Here is a 25,641-nt window from a genome sequence, read left to right as displayed (position 1 = left end):
CTTCAATCTCAAAGAAACTAGGTTTCCACAGTGCAGCCCCCTACCTTAAAATCCCTTCTGTTTTTCTTTTTCCCATCTCAATTTCTTGACCCCATCTTATATACAAAACCTGTTTCATGGGGAGTACTGCTTAATTTAAGGCTTTGCTCATCCAAAGTCTACAGTGATTTTCCATTACCTAAAATGATACTAGGTTTGTTGAGCAATCACTCAGTGAGTGCCACACTATGCATATTATTGATAATGCACAAGTCTGACACACAAGTATGAGGAAACCACAGCTTTGGGAGAGGTTTAAAAGTTTGCCTAGTGTTCCATATCTAGTGAATGCGGCTGCTGAAAATCAGCCCCAGGTCCTGTCCTTTGTTCCACAGAGGGAAAGCTTTGGCTGACCCTTCCAGGCTTTCTGTAATCTGTTTTGAATTTTTAATTTCTCCCTCATTACTCCTCAGTATGAATTATACATTCAAGTTAAACTGGTTTACTTGCAACCCCATGGACAAATCAGTGATTATTTTCACCTTGTATTCTTTGTTCACCCTCTTTCCGATAGAAAAAGTAGGTGTAGAAACAGTTTACTCTTACTTCTGTATTTACTCAAATCCTTCTGAATTTCTAAGGATTCACTCAGCTTTCACCTCCAGAAGACTTTCTGCACACAGTGGTTCCTCTCTCTTCTGAATTCTCACAGCACTTGTCTGTATAACTCACTTGGAACTTTATCATGTAGGTTTTATATTCAAGTTGTCATATGCATATATGGGCTCTTATTGTTAAGAATATATGATCCCTGAGAACAGAGTCTGTGTCTTATGTCTTTGTGTCTTCCATACAGTGCTAAGTATATGAGAAGGTCATAGCACAGAATGTTGAATAAAGTAAACTTAAAAAAAAAACAAACTTGGGTCTAAGGTGTTTTGCTTCTTGGCCTGTGTATGTATTTTCCCTGCAGAAACACAAGTTTAAAAATAGGGTGCTTGTGATGATTAATTTTATGGGTTAACTTGACTGGGCTAAAGGATGCCCAGATAGCTGGTAAAACTTTATTTTTGTGTGTGTCTGTGAGGGTATTTCCAGAAGAGATTAGCATTTTTGTAAGTAGACCAAGTAAAGAAGACCACCCTCACCAGCCTGTTGAGGGCCTAAATAGAACAATAAGGCAGAGGAAGGGTAAATTCTCTCTCTCTCTTTTTGAGCTGGGACATCCATCTTCTTCTGCCCTGGGATATTGGAACTTCTGGTCCCTAGGCCTTTGGACTCTAGGACTTACACCAGCCTTTCCTCCTATCCCCAGTTCTCAGTCCTTCAGACTCAGACTAAATTATAGTCATCCCTTGGTATCTGCAGAGGATTGGTTCCAGGACTCATAGAAAGTACCAAAATCCACAGATGCTCAAGTCTCTTACATAAAATGGAGTAGTATTTGCATATAACCTGTGCACATCCTTTTGAATATTTTAAATCACTTATAGATTACTTATAATACCTAATAAAATGTAAATGTTATGTAAATAGTTGCTATACTGTATTTTTTAAATTTGTATTTTTTAAAATACTTTTCTTTTCTGAATATTTTCTATCCATGGTGGATTGCATCCATGGAACCCACAGATACAGTGGGCTGACTACACCACCAGCTTTCCTGGTTCTCCAGCTTGCAAACAGTAGATGGAGGGACTTCTTGGCCTCCATAATCAAGTGAGCCAATTCCCATAATAAATCAATATATCGATGTCCTATTGATTCTGTTTCTCTGGAGAACCCTGACTAGTAAATTCAGTGCTAGAGCATAAATTTCTTCTTCCTAAGCCTTCTCTGTTTTCTTGGCAACTCAGTGGCCACTTCTCACTCTTTATGCAGAGTAAAAATTACCAAATTTCTTCAGAGTCAATTAGTTAACAAATATTTGTTGAGCACCAATGTAGTTTCTTTGTGGAGTTTTAGGACTTCTGCTTCCAAGGGCATGGAGTTTAAGTGTTAAAGGGGCAGTCACACTCCCTCATTTTGAGTTTGTTCATTCTCCTCTTTGGGTTATTGGGCAACAAGCTTCTAAGTTACTATAGACTCATCCAAAGACTGGTGACCTTCTTAGACTTTAAAATGTTGTTCTACTTGCTCATCAAGATGTACCTCCTTTTTTGTCCTGGAGTTGACAAGGAACTTCAGTGGATTCTGGGTTCATTTTTATTAAACAGTAAATAGAAATTGTCAGTCACTTGGGTATATTGATGACAAGCTATATCTTAAGTGAAGGTAAATGCTCATCAGCCCCTAAAATATTTGCCCAGAGGGCAGCTTTAAATTCTCCTGTATTTACTTAAGAAGACCGGAGGTCATGGCTCTGAATTCTTATTCTAACTAAGCAGGGTGTTTTTATTACCCTAAATCCCTGGAATATGGCAGTGTTATCTCCCTACACAAATCTTGGGATTATTGCCCTGAAGTAACATTAAATGCATGTGGTTTCAAAAAATGAAAAGCAAACCAATCCCAACAACCAAACAAGTAAAAAAAAAAAAAAACTTTGAAGGTGGTTTTGGAACTGAGAGTGAATTGTAGAGTTCAGTTGTACAGTTTTTGCAACTTTTTTCCTGTAAATCTAAAACTAATCTAAAAGTAAAAGTTTATTTAAAAAAATAGATTCTAACAACAAAAAAAGGATAGAAGACAGCGTAAATGTCATTAGTCTCCCATTTTAGTCTTTCAAGTTTCAAATTTCAAATTCAAGTTTCAAATTCTTTTCTTACTATGACGACATTGGAGTAGGAACAGAAAATTCTATCCATTGTATCAATTGAATTGTAAGATATTTCTACTTTTTCTTTTTAAGACCTCTTGCTTGATTTGCTGAGAGTCAATCAGATAAAAAATAAAAGCCATTCCAACCTTCATGAGAGATAAAGACTTAAGTGAATTGACATAATATATTGTCCTTCATATATAATCATAAGGCTGACACACTGTCAATAGCAGTCAGTTTCGAATTAAGCAGTGATGACATGTTGCTGCTGAGCTATTCACAAAGAGCTAGAGGACATATTCAGTGGAAGATGGGCCTGGAGCTTGGTTGGAAGTGGTACTGGGACTAAGTCAGATTCCAGGACACCTGGATGAAAGTCAAAATAGTGCCTGAGGCAAATTTTGCCCACAGCATGAAATTCTTCCCACCTTTGGCCAGGATTATTACCAGGAACTGGGCTAGAACAAAACTTGCCAATAGTGGTCCAATAGTGCACATTTCAGCCCAACAGCCTCAAAAGTGGTATACCCTAAGAGGTCTGCAGAAAAATCCCTCAGGTTAAAGAAAGAAAACATTAGAACTTGTACTTCTATTTATTTTTATCTAAAAAGAAATACATTACACTTTATTGATATTTACTATATGAGTTGACCCTGGTATCCTCACTAGATCTGCTCGTTAGCCAATCTTCAGTAGAAGGGAACATGGTTTTCACAAGCCTTGTTTCTATTAGAAGGGACTTTACTAGGCAAAGTCTTGGTCTTTCTACCCCTCCAACCCGATACTGTCAGTCCTCTCCTTGGACTACTGGAATTCTGTCCTCTCCCTGGGGGACACCTGCCTCTCTATAGCAACACCTAAATGGATTGGGTAAATTTGCTATATCTGGGGTCTTTGTAGCAGGCCCATCTGGTACTTATATTAAGCTACATTCTTTAATCTAGATTTCATAATACTAAACATGAGAATTTGCCTTCATATGTTACATGTTGCTTCATTTCTCAGTTTGTTTAGAAAAGAGGCCCCATTAGAGACCCTAACAGTCTTTTCTCACATGTGATTATATGAGGTTTTTTGAGGGAAATGGAGGAGTTCCATAACTGGAGGGCTTGACAAGGGTAACTTCATTCATTTATTTACTTTCAGTCTCTTACAGTTCACCCATGTGTGACTGATTTTATGTGTGTCAGATATCTTTCATTGGCCCCTCTAGATTTATTTTTCACTCCTTCTTCTTAGCCCTGAGAAAGGGCTCTCTTGATTGTCAGCTTCTGGTTGGTGACATTTTCTGTCATAGCCAGTGGCTATACTGCCTAATAGATACCTGCAAAAATATAAATAAGCAATTCCTTAATGGTAGAGGTAATATTTTAACAATAAGTGAAACAGTAATTACTTTCAAAAAGAATATACATTTTGAAAAGGGATTTTGGGGATGGTGTCTACTAGAACATTCTTTTACAGCTGAAGCAATGTAAGTAAATCTGCCATCTTTAAAAACACTTTTCATATTCTGATAGCTAAAAAATTTAAATACAAAATTTTCTGACATGCCAAAAATATTACAGTATGTTTGAAGTACATTTGTCAAAAACAAACTAGCCAATCCTTTGATTACTTTGTAAGAACTACTAACATTAAGATGGAAATTGAAATTTATAAGTAAAATTTCAAAATCATCTTTGTATAAATTGGTGAGTAGGACTGAAAACAGAGTATTATGATGTTTTCAGTGCAGACAAATATATATTTCTTCCATTTAGTTCTGCCTCTGATTGTAAGGAGTCTTTAACTATGACAAGCACTAAATCTAAGCATTACAATAAACCAAATTACTTGTTTATTTGTTTTGAGACAAGGTCTAGCTCTGTCACCCAGACTGGAGTACAGTGGCGTGATCCTGGCTCACTGCAACCTCCACCTTCTGGACTCAAGCGATCCTCCTACCTCAGCCTCCCTATAGCTGGGACCACAGACGCACATCACCACACCTGGCTAATTTTTGTATTCTTTGTAGAGACCAGGTTTTGCCATGTTGCCCAGGCTGGTCTTGAACTCCTGAGCTCAAGTGATCCATCCACCTCAGTCTCCCAAAGTGCTGGGATTTCAGGATTGAGCCACCATACCCAGCCAAACCAAACTTCTAAACAGGTCTTTTAATTGCTGCAACTAAAAGTTTTAAACCAAGATTTTCAAAAATATAAGTTTTGGTCATTCAAAATAAAATAAAGATGGAAGGAGCCTGGTATTATAAACTCACAGTAATATGTTATGTCAATAGAAATTAACTATTAGTATATTAAGGCATTGAGATTTTGGTGTTTGGTTACAGTAGCTATTCCACCTTGCTAAGTACAGAAATTGGTACTTTGACATGTGCTACTATAATCACAATATCCAAAAATAAGTGGCATTAATTTAGTGGCTGGCCAACAGAAAGTGAGGCTATGATAGAGCAGCCTGGCTGTTTGGAGAGTTCTGCTGTGTCTCAGCAGGTTTTCAGTAAAGCTGTCATGGGAGAGCTTGGAAAGCAGACCACACATCTACTGAATCTGTGGCTCTAGGGCAAGTAGTTGGAACTGTCAGAGGGTTAGTGAGTTGGCCAGAACTTAAGCAAGAAAGATATGCACTCAGGTGAGCTCGAGCTGATTTCCAAGCAGAGAATGGACAGAAGAAAGTTCAGAGATCAAGGGCCTTACATGGTTGAAAAGTTGATAGCTTTTGGACCCCAAATAAAAAATGGTCCTGAGTGACAAAGAGCCGGTGAGATTTCTCAAACAACTCAGCCCTTCAGTAAACATCAGATTAAGAGAGATACTTTTCCACTGTAGCATATTGTTTCAGATAGCCTCAAGGTACCTGCCATCAAGCTGAAGAAGAAACAGGACTAGGAAACAAAGAGTAAGGAGAGTTGAATAACTACATCTAATAAAAACCTTGGCACATGGAATTAACTGGAAGCAAATAGATCAGAAGCTTACTAAGAAATTTTTGAAGAAATTGTAGTGCCAAAGAAATCATGTGTTAGGCTAAAAAGGCCTTAAAAATAACCCATGGGAAGGAAGAGAGATATGAAAGCTGTGCAAGCCCCAAGAAGATAATATTCCCCAACAATTATTTCAGATATTGCCATGGAGGGCAGTAATGGTTAAGAAAGAAACTGAGAGACAGTAGCCAAGAGCCATGGGAAGAAGAATCATGAACAGACAAGAAACTACCTCACATTTTGGGTAGTTGCAGTGCCTACACAGAAGGATTTAATAATTTCTATGGGTCATTGACTGCTCTGTGTATCCTATTCTTCCTTTTTCTGAATGGAAGCTTTTATTACAGTTATGCCAGGGAGACAACATAGATCACCCAATCGAGGTCTGGCTAAATAATTTGCAGTTCAAATTGAAAATGTAAGAACTCTAGTTCAAAGAAGCAAAGAAAATGTGCCATTAAAAGTACTAAAATATAAAACTTTCTCTTATCTTCTGTTGTATGTTTTGAGTGGTAATGGTGTTTTATATTTGTTACTTATTGCCATTCTAAATCAGGGAAAATCTGATTTTAATGTTCATCTTTATCTTGTGCAATGCCAGTTTTAAATACAAACACAATAGCACTAACTTGCATGTAGAATTACTGAACTTATACAATTTGTATTTCTTGAGCTTATACATGCCTACACATTTTGTTTTTCCCGGAACAGTGGAGATGCTGCACACAACTAATTTGGCTATTTTCATTTTGCTTCACAATGTGTGCATAGTCTAGCAATGCTCTCTACCTTTGGCTTACGTTATTCCTTCCTAAGGCAGGAATAAAAGGAGAAGGAACTATGATTGCTCTATCATTCCCTTTCTTTCCATGACATCATTTTAGTGTAAATGGTTGGCAAATACAGGGAAATATAGCAAAAGATTATTTGGACTTTTGTGCTTCTTAGAATGCTACTGCCTTCTTTTTGTGTCTGAAGCATGTTTTCGTCCCAATGGAAAAATGTGGTTTCTCGAAGCTGTCAGTGTCCTGCTCACTCAGTCGTAGAAGTCACATGGCTACCTTGTACTCCTTTTTTTTTTTTTGAGACAGGGCAGTGGCATGATCACAGCTCACTGCAACTGCCACCTTCCTGGTTCAAGCAATCCTCCCACCTCAGCCTCCCAAGTAGCTGGGACTACAGGCGCACACCACCACCCCTGGCTAATTTTTGAATTTTTTTTTTGTAGAGATGGGGTTTCACCATGTTACCCAAACTGGTCTCAAACTCCTGAGCTCAAATGATCCTCCTATCTCCACCTCCCAAAGTGCTGGGATGACAGGCATGAGTGACCGTGGTTTTCATTTGCTAAACTCCCTAGCATCATAGGTCTACTGGAATTCTGTGCTCATGGGACATTAAAAATGCTAATATATGAATGGGACAGCAAGGAACAGCGGACATACTTATTGCAGATATCTTTTCTCACATGCATACTCCGTTATCCCATCAGATTTGATTAAAAAAAAAATGAAAAACAAAAAACAAACAAAAAACCCCACAAGCTTAAAGATAAAATTATTGGCCAGGCACGGTGGCTCACACCTGTAATCCTGGCACTTTGGGAGGCCAAGACAGGTGGATCACCTGAGGTCAGGAGTTCGTGACCAGCCTGACCAATATGGTGAAACCCCGTCTCTACTAAAATTACAAAAATTAGCCAGGCATGGTGGCAAGCGCCTGTAGTCCCAGCTATTCAGAAGCACAGGCAGGAGAAATTTGGAACCTGGGAGGTGGAGGTTGCAGTGAGCTGAGATCCGTGCCACTGCACTCCATCCTGGGTGACAGAACGAGACTCCATCTCAAAAAAAAAAAAAAGATAAAATTATTAGTAATTTCAAGACATTGATAACAGAGCATTAAACCAATTCCAAGGACCCACCTAAGTAGGCCCACCTGATGATTTCACTTGGGTTGAGGATAAGTAAATTCTTTGTGTGGACAAAAGAGTAAAACGGATGTTTTAGGTGAATAAAAAGATTAAGACTTTTGACTCACCAAAACCTATTTCTTTTTTTCCTTCAGAGCACACACACCTATTTGCCAGTCCCCCTGACCCTTCTCTTACTGTTAGGTATGCCATGTGACTGATGCACGGCAGTTCCGTGCTGGACCCCTAGAAACTCCCCCTATGATTCTCTGCTCCCTTCCCTCCTTTGTCTGACAAGTTTATGCAGAGGGGCCAGGGGAGGATTCAAATCTTCCGAAGAGACGATTGATCAACAGTTCAGAAAGGTCCTGAATCTCTCTAAAAGCTTTGGGCACTATATTAAGAGATTTAGGGGCTTATTTGTAACAAATACTAGTTCTCTCCTTACTAGAAGAAACCCCCACCCTCCTAATATGTGATTTGCAACTCAGGAACTTATCACTGAGGGCTTAACTGGCAACAAGGCAAATCAGATTAAGGATGTCAGCTAACCTTGGAAACTGGACAGACATATGAGGTAATTCAGGAGTGTAAAGGAGATTTTGGTGGTGAGAATCACTTGGTGCAGGGGGTGTCACTGGTTGATAACAAAACCTGGGAATGGGGCTAACCCTGGATATATGTGTTAAGTAGCTGTAGTTTTAAATTTGGTGGGCCACAGAGCTGTGGGTGGAGGGTGAGGTAAAGAATATTTTTTAACCAATGTTATATTCTCCAAGTGGCCTTAGCATCCTCCATAGCATCCTCCACCCCATTGCTTTATTCCTTTTCATGTCATATTTGATCCATGACACATAATACACATTGTGATTGTACATGCATTTGTTGAATTAATTATTCATTTTCTGTTTAACCCAGTTTAATGTGTTTCATAAGGTTAACTTCGTCAGTTTTATTCAATCCCTGTGTCTAATAGAGTGTTTATCACTGAATGACCAAATAAATTAAAAAAAAAAACTGGCCCTCCGTATTTATGGGTTCCATATCTGTGGGTTCTGCATCTGTGCGTTCAACCAAACATGGATTGAAAATATTCAAAAAAAATAGAATGTTTGTGTCTATAATGAACATGTACAGACACTTTTGTTGTTGTCATTATTCCTTAAACAATTATTTACATAGAATTTACATTGTATTAGATTTTTTTTAGTAATGTAGAGATAATTTAATGTATCTGGGATGATATGCACAAGTTACATTCAACTACTACAACATTCTATATCAGGGACTTGACCATCGATGAATTTTGGTATTCCTGGGGAGGTCCTAGAATACCAGGATACTGAGGGACACCTGTATATGAATATATGCACATACTACGCTCACCCATTGGGACGTTTACTAATTTAGACTGTTGTCAATTGATTCCTGTCTTGTCCCTTGCTACCACGGTGAATGGATACTCTACTTCTGAGCTCAATTTTCCTTGACTGGGGCCCTGATTCCTGCAACTGGACTTTCCAACACTGAACACCCCACTGCTTAGATCTCTTTCATTTGCCTGCCATTTTGACCATTGCACAACACCTGCCCCACCTCTCCTTAGATAGATCACCTGGGCTTTCTTCCCTTGATTTGGATGGTTTGTCCTTGTTCCTCATGCTGATCCTCTCATTTCTGACCTTTCTTGAGACTCACAATTCCGTGTGTTTGTTACCTCTATCACCGATATTGGCTTCATACTCAGGTCCAAGATCACATATCCAATTGCTGCCATTCTGAATGCAAGTAAACCCAGTCAACATCTGCCTCTGAGTTCTGTATCTCCAGTTGTTCTTAGTATTCAACACAAAAGAGCTTACTTAGGCCCAGCTAACCAACTCTCCTGAACTAATTGTGGTTCATATCAAACATGTACACTTTTAAAAATAAAATGAAACAATTTAAAGGAATAAGGATTTAATTAAAAATATTTTGGTAGTGCTGGAAAAAAAATAGTGACAGGAATAATTAGACATTAATCTCAAAGAAAGGCTTAGGAGGTCAGATATTGTGTCTATACTACTGTTATTTCACACATGACCCCCAATACAAGTACTCAATAAATACTTCTTTATGGATTGCTTGACTATTGTATCTAAAAATTCATAATTTTAACAAATACTGATGTAGTAGAACATGCTACAAAGTCTATTCCTAGTTCCGGTGCTTTTTACCAGCCTTGGCTGTCTGGCTATCCAAATGATTATGTTCTCAGGTCTTTCACAGCCACATTTCATCACACTAGTGACACTACTAAAGTGGTTGAGTGAATGTAGTGCCTGTTCATAAAATCATTTCAAGTAAAGGGCTTCAAGATTTTTCCAGATGTTATTCAAATCGATATAATTATTTACAGTAGGACATAAAACACCAAGGTCTCACACATTTTTTTTCCCTTAGTGAACTAAGCAAAGCCATGTGACAGGGCATTAAGGTACAATAAAATTGGTCACTTCAAAATTTGTTTCCTCAAGCATTCTAATTTTTCTCTAAATTGTGGATAACAGGAATTGACAGTCACATGAACTTTAAGGGAATTAAACACAATAGGCTAAAGCTTTGGTGCCTTGTAATGAATGGGCCACACACAGTGGGTGCAGATCACTAAGAAGTTATTATGTATCTGTTTTGAGATAACCACTTTGCTGCTGCTAATGTTCTCTAACTTTTTATTACATTTTCAAAGCAAGTAAGCCAAACTGGTTGCCATGGAAATGATTATGATGTCACAGAGGATGATGACTTCTCCTAATCTATAAGCAGCAAGAGCAGATGTGCTTGTAAGAAACAAAGATCTTGTTTTCATACAAATGCGCTCAAAATAAAACACAAAGGAAGAAAAATACCCAGAGCACATAATGCAAAGAACAAGAATTGCTTCTAAATAGAATGTTTTACAAAGTTTTCCATAAAGCCTCAGCTGCTCCTCAAGCCACAACCGGCTTGAACATGGATGGCAGACATGAAATTACAGTATTCACAAAATTAGTATTCAGTTTGCAGAATCTCTCTTTCCAAAGCCTTCAGGCATACTTTATGCATGCACAATTACAGAAGCAGGTAATGAGAGAGATTCTGATTTCTTCCTATTGTAGTTATTGTACTTAGCTAGATAAGTCTTGATAAAAAATTGCTTTGTTAAAAAGAAATCTAAGCAATAATTTATTAATTCTATTGAAAATATCTTTTGGCTCTTAGTACAAGATATACTGGATGATTTCTCTAAAACACACATTACTGTGTCCATGGAGACGGGTGGTGACATATCAACTTTTAGTAACGCATCAAAAAGTTCCATAACAATTAATAATCTGCAAGCTACACTAATTTTTTTTATAATTTTATTATTTCATATCACAATTAATTTCACTTCAATTATTAGAGATTTTAAAAAAGGACATTCACAGTTTATGACTATGACCTCCTGAAATACATAGATATGATAAACAATATATCAAATGAATGGGTTGTGTCAAAATATATTACAATGTTTTCATTACATCACATTGAATTTAATCTTATATGCCTTCTAGGTCATTGAGACTCTCCTAAATTAATTCTTTAGATTCTCAAATATTTCTCACAGTAACTTCAACTATTCTTAGAATTAATCAAAGTTTAAATGACAAAAATGAATGACTTATAATAAAATTCTCACTCCCTGCAATGAAAAATAAACTTCCATCCAGTTTGCAACATGGATTTGCAAATAAGAATTTTAAGTTCTGCTATAACTAAATGAGAGATTTGAACTGAGTGAAAATGAGATAAGTTAACTATTTTGATGGCTCCTAAGATCCTGCTCCTAAAGAAATCTACCACCAAATAACCTTTTACATGAAAACATTAAACATTAAGACCAAGATACATTGTGCTACAATTCTGCGTTACTGTTAAGTGTATGTATGTCCAATTTTACATTCAATTTACTGTCAAAATTAATTTTTTATTTAGAAATAAAAAATATTATGAGAATTATATGATAGAAAAACAAGTAAAAATAAACAAGAAAAAAGTAAAAGTTCACTATGTTCTGTAGCCTGAGTTAAAAGAAATTGAGAATAAGTTAACAGGTGTTTCTGAATGCTAGACTTTAATCCTAGTTTTAGTTCTGCTATCATATTGAAGTCATATACTATTTTAAGACATAAGCTCACTTTTTTTAAAGTACATAGTATGAAGATAGTACTCTAAATGAACACCAGTGTTTGAGTTGTATATTAGGAACTGAAAGACTATGATAATATAAATTCTGAAAAGAGGCTAAAAACACTTGACAGCCTTTTTATAAACACTGAAAAGATTTAAGAGACACCAAAGAGATGTTTGTTTAAGAACTACAGAAGACCATAATAGCTTGGTCAATTTAGACAAAGTGCAAAGGCCTAAATTTAAAAAGAACGTCGGTATTTGAATTTAGAAAAAGAGAAAGGAAACTGCATTGAAAGTGCTTTTTAATGAATGAATGATTAGACAGCAGTGGAATATTTTATAACACTTTATTGATGAAGGGTTTTATCTCTATGATAATTTTTATTACAAATATAGTACCAAATCTGTTTAAAGCACTGTATTAAGAAATAAGAGCACTATAAAAACAGTTGACTGAGTCTTTCTCTAAAATTGCTCTAACATAGCAGTGTAGATAAGATACACATACAAGAAAAAATATATTTTATTGAGATAAATGATAACATTATTGATGTAGATAGTAGGTGCTAAATAAGTTAACCTAAAGGGAATCACAAAGCATTCATTTATAACATATGGTATCAGCATAGTTCAGGGGCAAAAATAAAAATGTGGTGTAGCAATTTAACAGAATTAAAGCTGTATATAAATAAAGTGTAACAGACTATATTGTCTTTCCATATACATAGGTTTTTGTCTATAGTTTTTTTGAGCATATTTGATCTGATTTCATTTAAAAATGCTTAAGCAAAAATTTTTCATTTTAAAGACTCCCAATGAGGGCAAACAAACAAAAACTAGGCAATTTTTAGTCCTTGGAGGAGAAAACTTAGTTGGCAGGTTGTCCTAAACTTTGCACTCCCTATGTAAGCATAGGTTAGTTCAGCTGATTGTTGCTATGTGAGGTTTTTCTAGGCACTTACATTATACAAATGCTCTAATTTAGAGTTGACCAAGGTCTGGATAGAAAAATTTGAATCTGATATATGTTATTTGGGGTACTACATTTTGAAGAGCAAGCGTAAGAAATAGGCACTCTGATGTGGAAGAAAATATGTTTTTCATTAGTTTGATTTGTTCGTTTAAAAAAATGACATCAGACATTTGGGAAAAGGTTTTTAAATATTGGGAAGGAAATCAATATAAAGTTAAGGTACAAGCCTGAGCAACATAGAGAGACCCCCATCTCTAAAAGAGTTTTTTTAGAAATTAGTCAGATGTGGTGGTGCACATCTGTAGTCCCAGTTACTCGGGAGGCTGAGGTGGGATTATTGCTCAAGCCCAGGAGTTCGAGGCTGCAGTGAACTATATAGTCACAACACTGTACCCCAGCCTGGGCAACAGAGAGCTATCCTGACTCTCTTAAAAAAAAAAAAAGAAAAGAAAAGAAAATTAAGTTACAAAACAATGATCAGCTTTTATGTCACTGCAATAATTAACTGTAATAATTTCAATCACACTAATTTAAGAATGTTCTTTGTAAAACTGCTATTTAGAATATTCATTTGCTTATCAAAGAAATGCAAATAAAACCCTTAGCCATGAATGAGGCATTGCTCTAAGACTTGATTTGATCAACTATAAATATTAACTCATGTAAACCATATTAAAAACAAAACTTAGGTAAGTTTTATTATTTTCATCTACTATTAACAGATGAGAAAACTGAGACTATTAAGAAACTTGTCCAACTGTTAAGTAACAGAGTAAATCATAGGAGCCTGGATTTGACAGCAGGCCTTCTGGATTGAAAGATCTTGATAATTATATAGCCAATGGTACTTTTGCCAGTATCCCCTGGGTCAAATTCCTCTTGGAGTACTGACCTGGAATTTTTTTTTTTTTTTTAATCTGGGCTGATGATTTCACAGCCTTCCCAGACAATATGAGCTATGTAACCAACACTGTGTTTCCTCTTTTATCTGATTACTATGTTTGCAGAAGTAAGTTTTGTGTTCAATTGTGGCTTTTTCATAACCAAGATTTCTTGATATTTTTCTTTCCCCTTTGCATCTTAGTTTCTCTTATTATTTTCTGAATTTACCCTGAATTCGAATTCTTGTAGGAAGTACTGGTGGATAAATCAATCAACCAGCTTCAAAAGTAGCCATAAATCACTCTTAAAAATAACTATTTCATGTTTTCCCATTTATAAATCAAAGGACTAGAGGCTACTATCAATTATTTAAGATAAAACATAGCTAAACTAAAGGTTCACTTGACAGTGATCTTCACTGCTTTTAAAATTTAACGGGGAAAACATATACACATTCGATTATATTTGGCCTTTTCAAAATATTCATTCTCTCCTTCAGTAGCATAGGTCACAAGGCCCACTTCATATAGTAAGATGAGGATAATGGTAATCTCTTGATTTTACCATCCTACATAAAATGATGCCATGTCCTTTTATCTTTCATCAAAGGCATAATTACAGGGTAGAGAATGAAACACTATGATTCCAGATGACTTCTCTCTATCTAGCCTGAGTTCTACCATTAGCTAGCTGGTTAACTTTGAGTAATCATTTAAATTCTATGAGTTAAATATTAGATGAGTAAATATTTTCATTACACAAATCCACTTCTCCTTCCAGCCTGACTCTTTGATCATTCTCTGGTATTATCCCTTCATTTCACATAGGAAGAAACAAGGACAAGAGCAATGAAGTCACCCAATCAGAGTAAAACAGTCAGGTAATGGCAGAGTCAGAATTAGAATAAAGGTCTCCTGTCTTCTAGAATTGTGTTTATTAAGAAATCAAACGTTGCAGATGCATCTCATCCTCCTCTCTTTCACCCTGGAGGTTACTGCTATTCCAAAAGTGGTGTCTTTCTTTTATAATACTTTTACTACATATACATATGTACAAAAACAATACATATTGTTTTCTATGTTTTTAAGTATTAACAATTTATATGAGAATCCTTTAACAATTCACTTATCTTACCCTGTATAATATTTTAGGGATTTTTGTGGTGGTATTTATGTATTTATATATGTATTGATTTATGTAGTACATATATATGTATGTGTGTATATATATGTATTTGTTGTAGTATTTAGTTGCTGTGCAATATTTCAATGAAATGATACACTTCAATTTGTTTATCCATTCTCTTGGCCAGTAGCTTTCAGTCTTCTTTTGACCCTGTAATCCATAGGGAGTAAAAATAGCTTTTACATGGTGAGCCAATTGATAGATAGATAGATATACCTCTGATACAAAAAGTTACCTTTTATTTATCTTTGTTGTGTGTGATAAACGTACTGTATTCGATTCTATTTTGTTTTTAGATGCTGGTTATGACTGACTAAATACACACAGCCTGCTAATGGGTTACAACCAGGCATTTGAAAAATACTGTTCTAGGGGGATAGTTTTCAAACTGCTATAACATTTCCAATACTCTGATATTCCTGCAGAACATAGTGGGAAGCTAGTGGGGGGTGACTCCAGCTTAGAATTTTTTCTGTCAATGAAAGATGGAATTAAATAGGAATATCTTTAGCATGTGGATCATTTAGGTACAGAAAACAAGTTTGAACCATGGTTTTAAGCAGTGAGGCTTATTATGAGGTAATTCTAAAAAAATGTGTGCAGATTTTTAAACAAATGATTCACATTTTGAATTCATGCTGCTAGCTTACTACTTTAAGAATTCCTATGGACAGTCTATTTGGAAACTGGAAAGAATATTTTTTAGAAAGTGAATAAAAATCCCCCGTTTTAATTTATTTGCCACGGTCATTGAAGAATATCCCTAACTCAGAGAAATGGCTTTACCTACATTTCCATAAAGTACATCAATAAGCTTTATGCCTTCATTGCATTACAGTAATATATTATTTGCAGACTAAAATACAAATGACCTCATTGACTTAAAGGTCTCCTGTGATGATGTTGTAATGAAGATTTCTGTGTTTAGTGAGTTGGGATCATTTCGTTTTAAAAAAGGAATCTTCAATTACAATTTGGTTACATGTTATACTGCTCTTTGAAGGTGCATTTTAGCCTATGGTTGTGACTAGAGACATAAGAATATTTTGCTTTTAGCAAGGGTGGTTAATTTCTGCTTCCTTTTTGGCATTGGCATCTGACTTGAGTACTCTAATCCTTTCGTCATCAGCTCTCAGTGTACAATGCTTGGCAAAATCTAGTGACTTCGATGAATAAACCAGTCTTCATATGATCCAGAGGCCTTAAGCTGCCTTGTTTTTTTACCCTGATTTTGAAGCAAGTAATGGAGTTGGCAGAGACAGAGCTGAATCTGCCAAAGCTCAGAATAAAGAACACTCAAAACATAAGTGCAAAAGAAAGCAAATAGTAGGAGGTTATCATCTCAATTAGGAGTCATTGTACGGCAGTGATCTGGAGGAACTTGGACTCTGGTAAACGTTTATAAAGTTTTCTTACCTGTATCTGTCAGTTTGCAGTACAATAACTGCTGCAATCACTTGCAACAATGCAAAGATATAAATAATAGTAGGCATATTTCACCTATGAAGGCTTGATTGTCCACTTGACTCCAGATGGAAAGAATGAGAAAGTTGACACAAAGATTGAAATGGAAGATGGGAGCTAAAGCTGAGGTTAACCCCTTTCTTCTGCACTTTCAATTACAACACTGCTTAGAACCTCCTTTCTCCTGAATCAATATCTCACTGCTCAATATGCTCTCAAAGCTTTTTCATTATGGCCCCTGGAACTCCTCTTTTAAGAAAAAAAAAACCAAAAACAAACAGGTAAATCCATCTATAGCCTCCTACCTCTTTAAAAAAAAACCATTGCCTAGGCTGGGTGCGGTGGCTCATGTCTGTAATCCCAGCACTTTGGGAGGCCGAGGAAGGTGGATCACTTGAGGTCAGGAGTTCAAGACCAGCCTGGCCAACATGGTGAAACCCTGTCACCACAAAAATTACAAAAATTAACTGGGATTACATGCCTGTAATCCCAGTTACTCAGGAGGCTAAGACAGGAGAATCGCTTGAACCCTGAAGGCGGAGGTTGCAGTGAGCCAAGATTGCGCCACTGCACTCCACCCTGGGTGGCAAAGTGAGACTCTGTCTCAAAAACAAAAACAACAAACATAAAAACAACATTGCCTAAATGAAAAAGGTCTTCTTTGAGGTCATTACTCCTTCTCATCTAGGATGAATATGTAATGTCACATAGAAACCAAGACACTTAAGAATAAAAGGGGGTACTATTAATAATGATGCCAGGACCACAGGTGTAAACTGAGACAGTTCTTGGCAAACCAGCTCATATGGTCAACTTACCCATAGTCCTCTCAAGTGAAGGCTTTTCATTTTCTACTGATTCACCTTGCTCAAGTTTAGACTAAGGAGTCAGCATCCCCTATGTAGTCCAAAGACATTTTCAGAACATATACACTTTCATGTAAAATCCCGGTTCCTCTGATGTTCATGCTTTCCAGCTACCACCTCACAATTCTTCCTCCTCGCTTTTATTTATCAGTTTTCCAGGGATTCATTCTTCATAGACTTTTGCACCTAGTTCAGTATTTCCCTCTCTTCCCCAAGAGCTACATCTCCCGATTATCCTTTCATGTTTCTGATATTCCACCCCCTAGAGGCCATGACTTCTCAACCTCCATTCCGGATTCTGGCACCTTGTTCTCCATCAGAAATTTCTGTTCACAATCTTCTATACCTTCCTATCTCTCACTATTCCCTCTTATGCAAATTATTTAACCTCACTGGGACCCAATTGAGGTCTCTGTACCCCTCTACTTCTATCTGTCAGTACCCTCTCTGTTTTGTATAGCTTACTTGATGATCCATTACTCCAATCCATTTCTTTAAGTCAAGCTCAACTTCTTTGATTCAATGTCTTCCAGCTCCGCAGCCAGTGGAATTTTTTACACTGGATCAATCCTGTGGTTCATTCTTTTCAAGATTCTATCTGGGCTGTGAGCCCAGTTACAGTTATAGCATTGAGCTTATTGATGGTTTATTTGTGGTCACCAGCCTCAACTGGGTCCTCTATTCGGCTTGCCTATTTTTCTACATTTTTTTTCAGTTAGCCTCTCTCTATTTTTATAAAAGCAACTATTTCAAACTTATTCACTCTTCTTACATTTTCAATCCAGTGGCTTTTCAACCTTAATAAATAACATTGATACCTTCTTCATATCTTTCCTAAACTTCCCACCATGACAACGCACAAAATTACTTACATCTTCAACCTTCCTTTCTTACTTATCCTAAGCACATGAGGTATGTCCTCTTCTAGCTGAAGCTACTCCTGCCAGTTGCGCAATAGATTCTTTTCTTTCCTATTCCCTCAGGGACCCCACTTTACCAATTTTCTCATTAGCACTGAGATATGTCAAGGTCTTACTTAAAAGACAAAAGAAAACAAACAAGAAACTTCCCTCAATCCCACATCTTCCTGTAGCTACTAGCTTCTACCTCTCCTTTTACAGCAAAACTTCTTGAAATTACCATCTATACTGACAGCCTCCATTCCCTCACTTATTCTTTTCTCAACAACTCTGCTGTCATTATTACAGGCAGAATTTGATGGTGTTAATCTCTCCTTTTCTCATTCTTAGATCTTTTGGGTTTCCTCTCAGATCTCTGCGGGGCTCCATTGAGTCAGGCTGTTTCAAAAATACTGCTGTCCCTCATGAATCAACTTAAGAAGGCTGTCTTGCTTATGAATCCACTGACATTCTAAAGCAGGTAGAAGGATGGTGGCCATATTCTCGAGGGTCAGGAGAGAAGTCTGGCCAGGTGACAGGGACAGTGCCGAATGGCATGACCTTAGTGAGCTCCACTTTCAAGAGACTGGCTATTAGCCTTCAACTCAAGTTTACAGATGCAGTACTGTACTGTTCTTAGAAAGGAAAACCATGCATTTCTAAACTCATAAGAAATAGGTGGAAAAAAACCAGAAATATCATTTGTTTTTAAATAAAAATATAATGATCATGTATATTCCCTTCACATAGGAAAATCACATGGAGAGTGAAAATATCAGAAAGTCGCTAATGTTGGGCTTAGAACTGATCAAAGAGTTTTGTGTACGATAGACTGCCTAATGGTACCAGGCCTGACAGCCTGCAGTGTCCCCCTCACATCAAGAATGACCTCTGAAGGCAATATTTCCAAAGACTTGCGGGTAAGGTACTCCTCTGTCTTCCATATTACGTTGTGAAGGAACATCATTCCTTCCTTTTTAAATATTCAACCAGTCTGATGCCAAACATTCATCTAACATAAATATGGGAAAATGTTAAACAATATATTTTGAACATACCAGATACCATATTCATTTTATTTGTTGGCTACTACCTGATGTTTTAGGAAGCTCTTCTGGGTTAGGTTATTCAAAATACCCTTAAGCAGAGTTCCCCTAAAATCACTGATTGGCTTTTCAAGTAAATAGTGTCTTTGTTATCAAATAAAAGCATTATTTCTTTTTGTTCTTAGAAAAAATAACCTGTAATGAGAGAGCAAATATGTAACTTCTACACGCATGGGATAGGAAATCCTAATTAAAATAATATAGTTACGTTTCTCTACTCCAGTATTCACTGTATTTGTAAATTAAAAACAAGAGAAACATTCTAATTTCACAAGCTTCATGTATAAACCCTAGCAAAATGTTCAACTTGACTTTTACTATAAACTGAGAGCTGTTCTCCACTGGAAAAAAAATCTGTTTCCTGAGAAATATCGTTTAAGAAGCCGTAACCATTTACAATTACAGTGTTTATCACAGAAAGCCATGCACTCATTATTTACACATGTAGGTGAAGTATGTCTACAAAAGGCAGCCGTATGATCCATCTGTTTCTGGGAGTAATAAATCTGAAATGGTCCCCTTTGAAATAAAATGTGCAAATATGCTTGGTGACCCAGACTTTAAAGTTATGTTCTTATCTGGATCTCTGTGTCACCATTGATTGTTACTCAACTCTTCATAGGGTGACTTTCTTTCAATTCACTCTCAGTGATTCTCTCATGTCATTCACTTATTGAGAAGAGCTCTAGATATTAATAAACATCTGATATTAACATACTAAATGCCAAATAGGTAATGTTTCACACATAGATAAGTTCTGGGTTTGGTAAAAAGTTCTATGTTGATACCACATTCAATTAACCTTCTTAAAACACCCTGGACATTCAGTATGCTTTCAAGAGATACAACAGTGGACTGCGTATTACTCATAAGGCTGGATTTAACTACAGTAAGACGTCTGTATGATTGATGAAAATAATTGGCAATTTAGAGAGACTATAGTATGATGGTTATGAATATGGGCTTTCTAGAACTTAAAATATGTGTTTGACACTGTCTAGCTCTGAAACTGTGGGACCAGGGACAAGTTAATACTGTCTCCAAGCTTTCTTCATGTGAAAAATGGGGTAGTATTACCTCTCTTAAAATGACAGTGGGTGTTAAATGAGATAATGCATGTAACATGCTTACCATGGTATCTGGCACGAAATAAATGGATATAATTATAAAAATGATATATGTGACTTTCCTAGTCCCACTGATACTCTAACTTCATTGAAATCAGTTATATCATCAATTTAAAATGCTATAGATTCTTCGTATGGATTTATTTCTCAATAATAGTACACTTCAAAAGTACAGTCTTCCAATGTGGCCATTTCTGCAATATAGTTTACAGGACTTAGAGTGATATTCTTAGTCTACTGAGTGGGACTTTCCCAGGTGTCTAGTACCTCACCATGACGTCAGGTTTTAAATACTTTTGTGAAGCTTTGGCACAGCTGCTGGGGGAGATACACTGATGGTGTTACTCTCTCCTTTATCATGTCTTACGACAGTTCAGAATGCCACACTAAGTTCTATATTAAGCTAACCTTTTTCTAAACCACAGTCATGAAAATTGGGGGAGATGACATTTGACTTTACTACTTGTAAATGACCTTTCTTTGATTCAATTCCCTTTTCCATAGCTCACGCCCTCTTTCAGAGTTATAAAACAGAAAATGGCTCCCCAGTTCTATCCCTATATGGTTCTCAATTCCCTAGGTTGTAACCATCTGGCTATAAAAATGGGGAAGGTGAATTCTCTGGATTATTTCCTTTACTATCTGTTGGTAATGTGTTCCTCTATTTTTTTTTTTTTTCAGCTTAACAGGATTGTTAAGCAAGTGATTAGACTTTGCTTTACTGTGAAAGAATTTTGGTTTATAAAGAGTTGAAGCTTCTCACAAACACTGGGTATGTACTTCCACAAGCTTTTCACAGGATTAAAAAGACAGTATCATACTGCTATTGGCACTGGTTTAACCACCAAATGTTTCCCTTGAGATGCAACCTGTCATCACTCTGCTTTAGAGTATGGATCTCTCTTGCAGAATCCAACCTTTGATATCACAGATCGTTAGGTTAATCTGTCCTATTTTCACCTCCCAATTCCAAAGTCAAATGATTATGTTTGGTTTTCCTGCTGGTCCCCAGCAAAATAAGTTTCTTTTTAATCTCTTGCATGTAGCTGCGGAAAAATATTCCAAATAATGAGTTTTTTTTTTGTCCTGTATCTAAATTAATGCTCACCAGGCGTCTTCTCCTTTGTTACCCTCTTTTGGTAAGTTATTTCTTTACAAAGTTGAATCATATCTTTTTCATTTCTTGAATTAACACTTCATTGAGGATTCCAATAACTTCCCTGTACTTTTTGTGCTCTAAAATTTTAGGGTTTCTTCTCAATCCTTTTTAGAGTTGACTTTGAGCATCACCACTTGACCCAGTTCAAAATTCCCTTGTTTTTGCATTAATGGAACTCATTTTATCAAATGCTGAACAAATCTGCATTTTAAAAGCAATTATGGTGGGTTTTAATGACATCTTTAAAAATGTGTGCTTTCATTTTTTTCAGGAACCTCTCTGGTCCTCACCCCACTGGTTTAACTCCCGTAATTTATCATTCTCATTTGGGATAGAGTTAGCTTATCACCTGCTCTACAGCAAAACACTCTCTCTGGAAGAAATCTGATAGTATTCTATCAACGTGTGAATTTAAGTCATAATGTTACCTTTTTTAGGGACATGAGTATTTGCATAAGAGCCTTATCTCTAATTGCAAAGTGACACTCTTAAGACTGTTAAAAGAAACTATTGTTCAAGGTAGATGGAATTAGAAGACCCTCAGCATGTGGGACTTATATGCCAGCTGAATAGACCCCAGACTATCAGTGCACTCAGGGAAGTAAAGTTTGACAGTATTTATATGCTTTACTTATGAACTGGATTTGGTATCTTAGAATATTTTCTTTGAAAAGGTAGTTCCATTTTTGGCTTTCTTGCTTCTTCATAGTGCCAATCTAGGTCAACAGGAGTAAGTGAGACCATTGTTCCATATCCCGCTTAAAAAGAGAACACTACTTCAAAGACAAGAACAACATCACCTGACAAAAATAAAAGAAGTTATCGGTTTTAAAACATTGTGCTTATGTGTGCCTGTTATTCTTAACTTTTTCAGGGATTCAAGTTATTTTAGGGTACCTATTCTGGTTGATTATATATCTAGCACAATAAAGCCATTTAAATAAAAAAATATAGAATTCATTTCCAAAAATTTCTTCTTTGATTTTAGGAAAGAATTATAATTTTCCAAATTGTCCCCTCCCACCTTCTGCTAAAAAGACCCCCAAAACTTAAAAACGTACAATTAATTCCTTGAGCAAACAAAAGGGGATTTTACCCAAATTCCTTTAAAGGGTACTTAGGGCTTTTAAATCTAAAATAGATAAAACAAACTACCCAAAGAAAACAAAACCAATACTCCACAATGTACCTTTTAGCTATATTGCCTTGTAAAATTTTTCTTTTGCTGATTACACTTAGTGATTACAAAATTAAACCTGCTGCATTTCTTGATAGTCACCCTGGTTCATGAATTGTCAGGTGGTAACAGGAAATAATTCATTTTTGAAACAGAGGCATTACATAAATGTATTTTATTCCAAATTGCATTTTATATACAATGTTAGCCACTTTTCATATTTATATTTGCAAAATTAATATATAAATGTTAAAAATATATATTTATATATAATTTTATTTTTAATTTATGTAACATTTTATTTTATATACATTTTGTAAATATAACTGTTATCTACCAAGAGGTTCAGATCCTTTGTGTGGCTTGTAAGCCAGAGCTGACCTGTTAAAGATATTTGTAATATGACTTATGAGCCAAGATCTGACCAAATTCTTTATGAAATCAGCATGTATCTTGGAAATGGGACCCTTTTCGTCCTTTGAAAATAGAGTTTAATACATGAAAGCCAGCTGAGTACATCATTTCCTCCATATTCATTCATTTAATAAATGTTTATTGAGTACCAACTTGTACCAAATACTATTCTACTTCTGAGAAAACAATGTTATGAAGGAAATATTCAAGGTGCTACAATAGAAGTTGGTGCAGGAAAATGTTTGGGTAGGATGGGACAGAAAGGATGAGAAAGAACCAGCTACGTGAAAAATGGTAAGGGCTGAGGGGTCTGTTTCCTCCCCACCCTGCCACTTCTTCCCTAAAGTAAAAACTTAACTCTCCAAACTGGATACAGTGGCCAAAGAACATGGTACTCCACTTCCCTAGTGGTATATTTTAATGTACAGTATAGTTATATAAGTACCTTAAAAAAATGTGTACAGTCTATGTCTTCTGGCAAAGGACAGAAATAAATGCACCCTCTAACTATCAAAATACTACCCAGAGAGGCCAGGCGCAATTGCTCACGCCTGTAATCCCAGCACTTTGGGAGACCCAGCACTTTGGGAGATCACCTGAGGTCAGGAGTTCGAGGCCACCCTGGCCAGCATGGTGAAACCCTGTCTCTACTAAAAAATACAAAAATTAGCCAGGTGTGGTGGTGGGCGCCTGTGATCCCAGCTACTCAGAAGGCTGAGGCAGGAGAATCGCATGAACCCAGGAAGCAGAGATTGTAGTGAGCCGAGACGGCGCCACTGCACTCCAGCCTGGGTGACAGAGTGAGACTCTGTCTCAACAAAAACAAAACCAAAACGAACAAACAAACAAAACTACCCAGAGAAATTCTGAACAAAGTGAATTACAGTTTATGCAAGGGTTCTTTCCCATGAGTGGATTGCATTGTGAATCTTAGGACTATAGACTCCACAGGCATGAAATAAAACCCCCAATCTTGGTATGAAAACATAATCTTGATTTCTCTGGATGAGTTAGATACACCATAACCTGCAAATAAGAAAGGAATGTAGGATGTTAAAAAGAGGGAAACATTTGCCAAGATGGTCCAATTCTCCCAGGTGGTCATGAGATCTTTGTTATTCTAAAATCTGGGATCCATTCAGGGGGAGGCAGGGTGACAGAATGTAGTGTCTGAAGCCTTAGCCACTAGAGGGAGAAAGTGTGCCTCTGGTGACTAGGCAGCCAGTGAAAGTTAACTCTTGAAAAGGACCAGCTTCAAGGAAGCTAAATTAAGCTTCAATAAACCAGGGGCAAGGACTACATCAACTTGGTAACTGTGAGGATGTATCTTTAAGATTTCACAATGGATCCTCTTCTACCAAATAATTACATTGTGTAAACTATCAGACATTTCATCTTAATTTCGATTATCTTTATTTCATATTTTCAAGGATCTCTGTAACAGTACAGATACCTAAACACTTAGGTTCAGTTTTTAGGAAGGACTTATGACAATTTCGAGAACTTATGTTATCCTTTACATATTGTGCATTTACATATTATAAACGACATACAGATTTTTTGAGGTAATTTAAGACTAAAATATTTGCTCTCTGTTGGGATGATTAGAGTGACTTACTGGTTCTCTACTCAGACTTTCCCAAATACGACTTTAGGAAAACTAATTTTAGCAACTAAGTGTTTAAAAATCTGCCTTATCAATATATAACTCACAGGAACTGCAATTTTTCTTAAAATCATCATAATGTTATTGCAAGCCTGAGCCCAAATAATTTCTCTCCAACGAAAATTTGTTAATCTTGTTTGCTGTACCACACTATCTACCATTTTCTATAGTTAAACAAAAAGAGACTATCGTTACAATTGTTTAATAATACATTGTATAGGAAAAAAAACTTTCAAGAAGTAATTCATTATAAAAGCTACAGTATCACACAAGTTATATGGTATCCATTACTTCGTTTGTGTCGATGTGAATTAATTCCTTCCCTATATCAAAATGTAAAGAAAAGACACTATCCAAAATTACCTACAGAGTGGTGCTTAAGGTACTGTTGATGACTTAATTTCCAATATATCTTTTTTTCTCAGCAGAAAAAAAAAACCTCAACAACTATTTCTGGGATTCTTCAAAGGAGTAAGAGTACGGTGCCTGTTCCGACTCTTCTAGCATTGATTTTCTTCACAATCTGTGATATGGTTTCTCAGGAACACCGTTTGGCAGTCCTGATAATTTCATGTGTTTTCAAATTTCAGCCATCCAGACTACACAGTTCACTATTTTCAGCTCCTTTCATTTTCCTTTTCCCTTTAATTATAGAAGTCTCTATTCCCTCTTTTCGCAAATGTGGTCAGGAAAGATACTAAATGCTACTATTTGTAGAAAGAATATGCATTTGTTTTTCTCTTGACGGTTCACTTAAGTTCTTTCCAAATAAACAAGCTGTGGTTGATAGTGATAGGTAACACTTCAAGGGTAGCAACTTTTTGTACTCATCCGTTCCTTTGACTTTGGAAGACGTGGCACATGCCCCGGGGGAGAAAAAGCAAGTCAACACTT

General features: G+C 36.4%; 2 long non-coding RNA genes across 2 annotated transcripts, besides 1 other annotated feature; one reads left to right on the top strand and one right to left on the bottom strand.

The window, feature by feature from the left end:
* Nucleotides 1-3,859: 3,859 nt before the first annotated feature.
* Nucleotides 3,860-10,343, bottom strand: LOC105373864 (uncharacterized). Its single transcript, XR_923851.3, has 3 exons — nucleotides 10,267-10,343; nucleotides 9,251-9,413; nucleotides 3,860-4,064 (listed from the first exon to the last, which is right to left on the bottom strand). It is a non-coding gene; the product is annotated as an uncharacterized LOC105373864 (long non-coding RNA).
* Nucleotides 10,344-10,419: 76 nt separating this feature from the next.
* LINC01953 (long intergenic non-protein coding RNA 1953) lies at nucleotides 10,420-22,314 on the top strand. The gene is made up of 4 exons (NR_146974.1): nucleotides 10,420-10,737; nucleotides 18,849-19,018; nucleotides 21,013-21,103; nucleotides 22,200-22,314. It is a non-coding gene; the product is annotated as a long intergenic non-protein coding RNA 1953 (long non-coding RNA).
* Nucleotides 20,774-20,843: an enhancer, noted in NCBI's record as "active region_17062". NCBI's record gives its function as "activates an Ori minimal core promoter by ATAC-STARR-seq in GM12878 lymphoblastoid cells {active_cell/tissue: GM12878}" and the evidence as "EXISTENCE:reporter gene assay evidence [ECO:0000049][PMID:35858748]".
* Nucleotides 22,315-25,641: the final 3,327 nt, after the last annotated feature.

Source organism: Homo sapiens, chromosome 2 (genome assembly GCF_000001405.40).
Source record: "Homo sapiens chromosome 2, GRCh38.p14 Primary Assembly".
Lineage (NCBI taxonomy): Eukaryota > Metazoa > Chordata > Mammalia > Primates > Hominidae > Homo > Homo sapiens.
This window is presented reverse-complemented; position numbering and strand designations above follow the sequence as displayed.